The sequence below is a fragment of the Homo sapiens genome, chromosome 7 (assembly GCF_000001405.40).
Source record: "Homo sapiens chromosome 7, GRCh38.p14 Primary Assembly".
Classification (NCBI taxonomy): domain Eukaryota; kingdom Metazoa; phylum Chordata; class Mammalia; order Primates; family Hominidae; genus Homo; species Homo sapiens.
The window spans coordinates 54,987,710-54,992,418 of record NC_000007.14 but is presented as its reverse complement, the minus strand read 5'-3'; positions in this window follow the sequence as shown (position 1 = coordinate 54,992,418).

The following is a 4,709-nucleotide window of genomic DNA, read 5'->3' as shown; positions in this document are numbered from 1 at the left end:
TACTTTGTATTTAAGCACAAGGTGAATTTCTTCCTAGGTCCAACAGTCATAGTAGCAAAATTATTACAGCACCCTGGACATTTTAGTGAATTTTAAGAAAAGCTTCACATCTATTTCTAAAAATTTGCATTAGATATTTAATTTCTACACCAAAAACTTGCTTTCAGTAAAAAAAAAAAAAAAAAAAGAAAGAAAGAAAGGAAGAAAAAAAAACGGAGGCACAAGCAGCACTGTTTAATAGCCTTCGCAGAAATATTTTAATCTAGGTGACTTGTTTGAATTTCATACGCCACAGGTGCAACAGAGGAAGAAAACACGAAAATTTAGGAAATGTTAGCTTTTACAAAAGAAATACCCCATTACCTGGAAAACTCAGCAATTGAAATGGTTTGCTGGACTTTCAGCATCAGGCACATATTAGTTCCTTTCTCACGATGAGAAATTGGAAGAACTCAGTTCTTTCCAGCAATAAAAGAATTATTAAACCCTCATTTTGGTTTGAAATTCGTCTCTTTTTTTTGTGTTTGTATTGGTTTTTACTGAACACTTCTCTCACTAGATTTCACATGACCTCCGTTCTTGTTATCCTGTTTCTAGCTCCAACCCCCTTCCCTGCCCCTTGCCTTTTATCAAAATGTGAAGATTGGGTCCGTTCAAGTTTCCAGTCGCTGGCTGAAAGGCTCACTGAGATCTTCTTGCTCCCTGGCTTTCTGTTGGGAAAATGGCTTTCTCTCTCTTTTCAGGAGAATGTATTGAAAACAATCTCTGCCCTGCCCACTGGGATAGCGGAGAGGATGCCGTGTGGGAGGGAGAGGGTCGTGGTTTTCTGGCAGAGACGGAAGTCCCGGATGGCCTGTGTTTGATGCCTCCCGATGGGTGGACGCTGTCCTGATGTGAGCTGGCGGCAGGAAGCCTGCCATCACCTTCCACCCAGCGGCCCTTGGAGTTGCAGCCCTTCCCGAACCAGCATCACTAGTGCGTCTGCCATTGGTGGTTCCCTTGGCTCCTAGCAGCGGCCATTGCCTAATGTGTCTCAGCTTTCCGAGACTCTCATGAGAAAGCCAGCAGCTGCCATTATTTGGAACTTGGTCGTGCTCTCTGCATTTCTTCACGCACTCTTACCTCTTATGTTACTTTTTACACCAATACAATGATGCTTGGAGAGCTCGATGCGATTCTCAAGGGCAACCTTCAGCTCAATCCATGAAGGTCCCTATGGTGATCTCTTGCTACCATGTCCCTTTGAAGACTGTAATTTGTTTATTCATTTTTCACTCACTCATTCACTAACAATTGTTCGTTGAACATCAGTTATGGGCCAGGCACTCTGCTAAGTGGCAAGGATGCCCAAAGGAATGTAAACATTGACTGGACCTCTGAGGAGCAGACTAGTATAGAAGATCCAAATTGAAACAAAACAAGGCAAAACTGTGAACCTGATTCGATAACAGCAGAATGTGTTTGGACAAACCATAGGGTACAGAGGACACAAAGATGAACTCTGCTGCCCAGATCCTCTCAGAATGGAGGAAGCACATTTTCAACCATGTTAGAATGGAGTTGGAGAGAGAGCAAGATCACACAAGGCAAAGAGGTATGAAGCGGCCTACGGGCTGCTCACTACTGTTAGAATGTGAGTTTCTAAGAACAAGGAATTTGCTGGGGATAAGGCTGGAGAGGAAGACAAGGGTCATGTTGAGTTGGGCATTATATAGCCCTGGCTAAGGGCTTTCTCTATGTTCTTTGGGTACTGCCACTGCAAGAAGGAAATAGAAATATTTACTCTAACTCCAAAAAGTAACTCTAAAAGATATTTTGCTGGCAATGCAAACGGTAGCAGGCAGAAGGAGATGCTTGAGTATTTAATGCCTGGGGTTATTGCAAAGGCTTTGCAGCTTTGGAAGTCCTGGGAAAAATGCCTTGGGTAGGGCACATTCTCTCAGAAGAGTAGGGACTGAGGACTCGCAGAGCCTGTGAGACCCAGGGAGATGGAGGAGTGAGGGGATAGCCGGAAGTAACAACACAGGTGCCAGGTCACAGAGATGTGGGCATCCAGGTGACACAGGCTTGTTCTTGAGCGTGCATTGGGCCTGGATCCTTTGTGAATTTCTTAGGCAGGGCTGAGTAGGGGTGTGTACGCTGAGAGCCCACGCAAGATAAGAGGCTGTTAGAATTTGATTTTAAATTCTATCTGCCAGTTGTGAAACATCTGGGGATGGCTGTGTTTTTGTTCTGAGGCTTAGACATAATGTAAGTGAATCATTTGTCATACAGTAGAGTCTTAGTCCCCTCATATGCGATTTCATTTCCTACTGACAAAGAAAGTAAAACTCAGAGACACAGAGTAATTTCCTCAACATCACAGAACAGCACAATTACTTCTTGTCTAAGAAGAGAACCTCAGCATCTTGGCTTAATTTCCAATTCTCCACCCCTCAATGGCAAGTTGTTATTGAATTTCTACTGAGAGACAGTAGTTGCTTGTCATGATGAAATTCAAATATTATTCCTTAATGAACAAACATGGCAACTTTCTATCATAATATTTGTGCAAAAATGTGGCTTTTACAACCAGTCACTACGGGGTGAGACAGGTCTCGGTTTTCTTCCCCACCCTGTTCTACTCATTTTCAGAACCATAAAAAAACAGAAGCACATAAGTTCCAAAACCCATAAAAATACATTTACATATACAATCAGGAGATACAACATGAGGTTTTAATAAACGTTACTCAGCTATGTGACATGTATTCTGAGTTAAATACTCTACAAATGTCATCACATCTGGTTTTCAAAAATGACATCTCTTTTATGTAGTATGTGGACAATTTTGCAATTATATGTTGCTTGTGGATTATTAACTTGTGAAAGTGGTTCAAACCATATTTTCATTGTTATAAAAAATGGCACTAACTACCCACATGTGTGATGTGTTATTGCAGACACTTGAGAAGAACTGTGAAACTAAAGCTGGCATTGCCAGTGCTACAGTTCATAAGCAATGGCTGTACCTAGCCAACATTCCAATATGCAATTCAGTGAAAAAAGGGAAATCAATGGAATTAGCAACATTAATGGCATCACAATATATTGATGTATTCTTCTCACTCTCCTCCTGCAGAACTCACACTCCACCCTGGGTATTCACTGCGCAAGCACGAGCTCCCTAGAGGCTGGTGGATTATTTAAATCTCTCTGTTTTATTTGAACTAAAACACAGAGACAAGTGTGTAGTCAGGTGTTGATGGCTGTGTTGCAAAGGGAAGGTCCATGAATTACTGATGTGGAAGCCCTTGGGGCAACAACAACAACAAAAAAAACCAAGGACTGTTTCATGTTTGGTGGTGGTGGTGGTGGTATTTCCCAGATTCTATAATTTATTCAGCAAAGAACTCTGCAAAGAACTCTCACCACCCCATTCTTCTTTCACATGATTGAGATAGTTATTGTCATTTGCAATCTACAGAGCCTTCCTGAACACAAATTGTGATAGTATAAAATACACAAGGTATGTCTATAGAGATACGAGATCAATTCCACTGGCATATTTCTGTCTAGATTGTGAAGAACTAGTTTCCTAAAACTACTCTACTGCTTACTCGGTAGCTGAGGGACCATGTTTCAGGAGAGCTAGGACTGTGGGTGAGATTGGACTGATGAATGTCCACCTCCATGATTTTATGATAGCCAATTACCTTATTACACAATTAGGCCTTGTAAATAGATGGGGACATGCTCAGTCAACTGTACAAATATTAGACATAGATTTGGTGAAAGATTTAGATTATGTATCCCTGTGAGTACAAGAGCTTTTGGTGTGGTGTCAAGTCCTGAGGAAAAATATGTGAATTGTATATTCAGAGATTAAGAAGATAAAGGGACAAATTAATACCTGCTATTTAATGATTAGAAAAATTGCCAACTAATTATGAAAATTAATAATCTGTAAGCTCATTTATTGTATGTATAAGTGAAAACAGTAGGTTACTAGCATACTGCAGTGTTTGGCCTTAATAGCATCTTTATAAAGATAAAAATAAATGATAGTTGAAATAATAGAAATGAATTTTTGAAAAGTGTCTTATTCAAGTAAAGCTCTGCTTATGAAAACTGTTCTTTATTACAAACAAAAGCCCACTTTTTGGCCTTGAAATCCAAGCTTTTCTACTTACAGTTTTTACCTTTTATAAAGTTGTGTCAATAAATCATCAAAACTAGCCAAAATGGATTTCATAGCAGAAAGTCTGACTTGAAACCATTTTTACTATGGTGTGATTTTCCAGCCAGAACTTGTAAAATTACCAAGAGTGACTGTTTTAAAAAACAGTATTGTAAATGCTTCATCAGCCCTGGGCAGCCTTCTTTAACTCCTGACTCCAGGCAGCTTGAGCTTCTTCCTTCTCTGTGTGTTTGTGAAGACTTTGACCTGCCTTGTAAATCTTTGTTTACATGCTTGTCATCATTCTGGACAATGATCTCCTCAAGGTCAGAGGGTGCTTTTTTATTGGTGGTTTGTTTGTTTCCTGGTTGTTGTTTATTTAGGGTTAAACATAACACATATCCACGATAAAAATCAGATGTTTAAAAATATAATAAAGAAAGTTTAAAAATTTAGATCAAATCCCATTAACAAGAAGTAATCATTCTTGGCATTACGTGCAAAATTTTCTAAGTCTAGTGTCTGTGTGTAGTTGCAGATATCAAGAAAG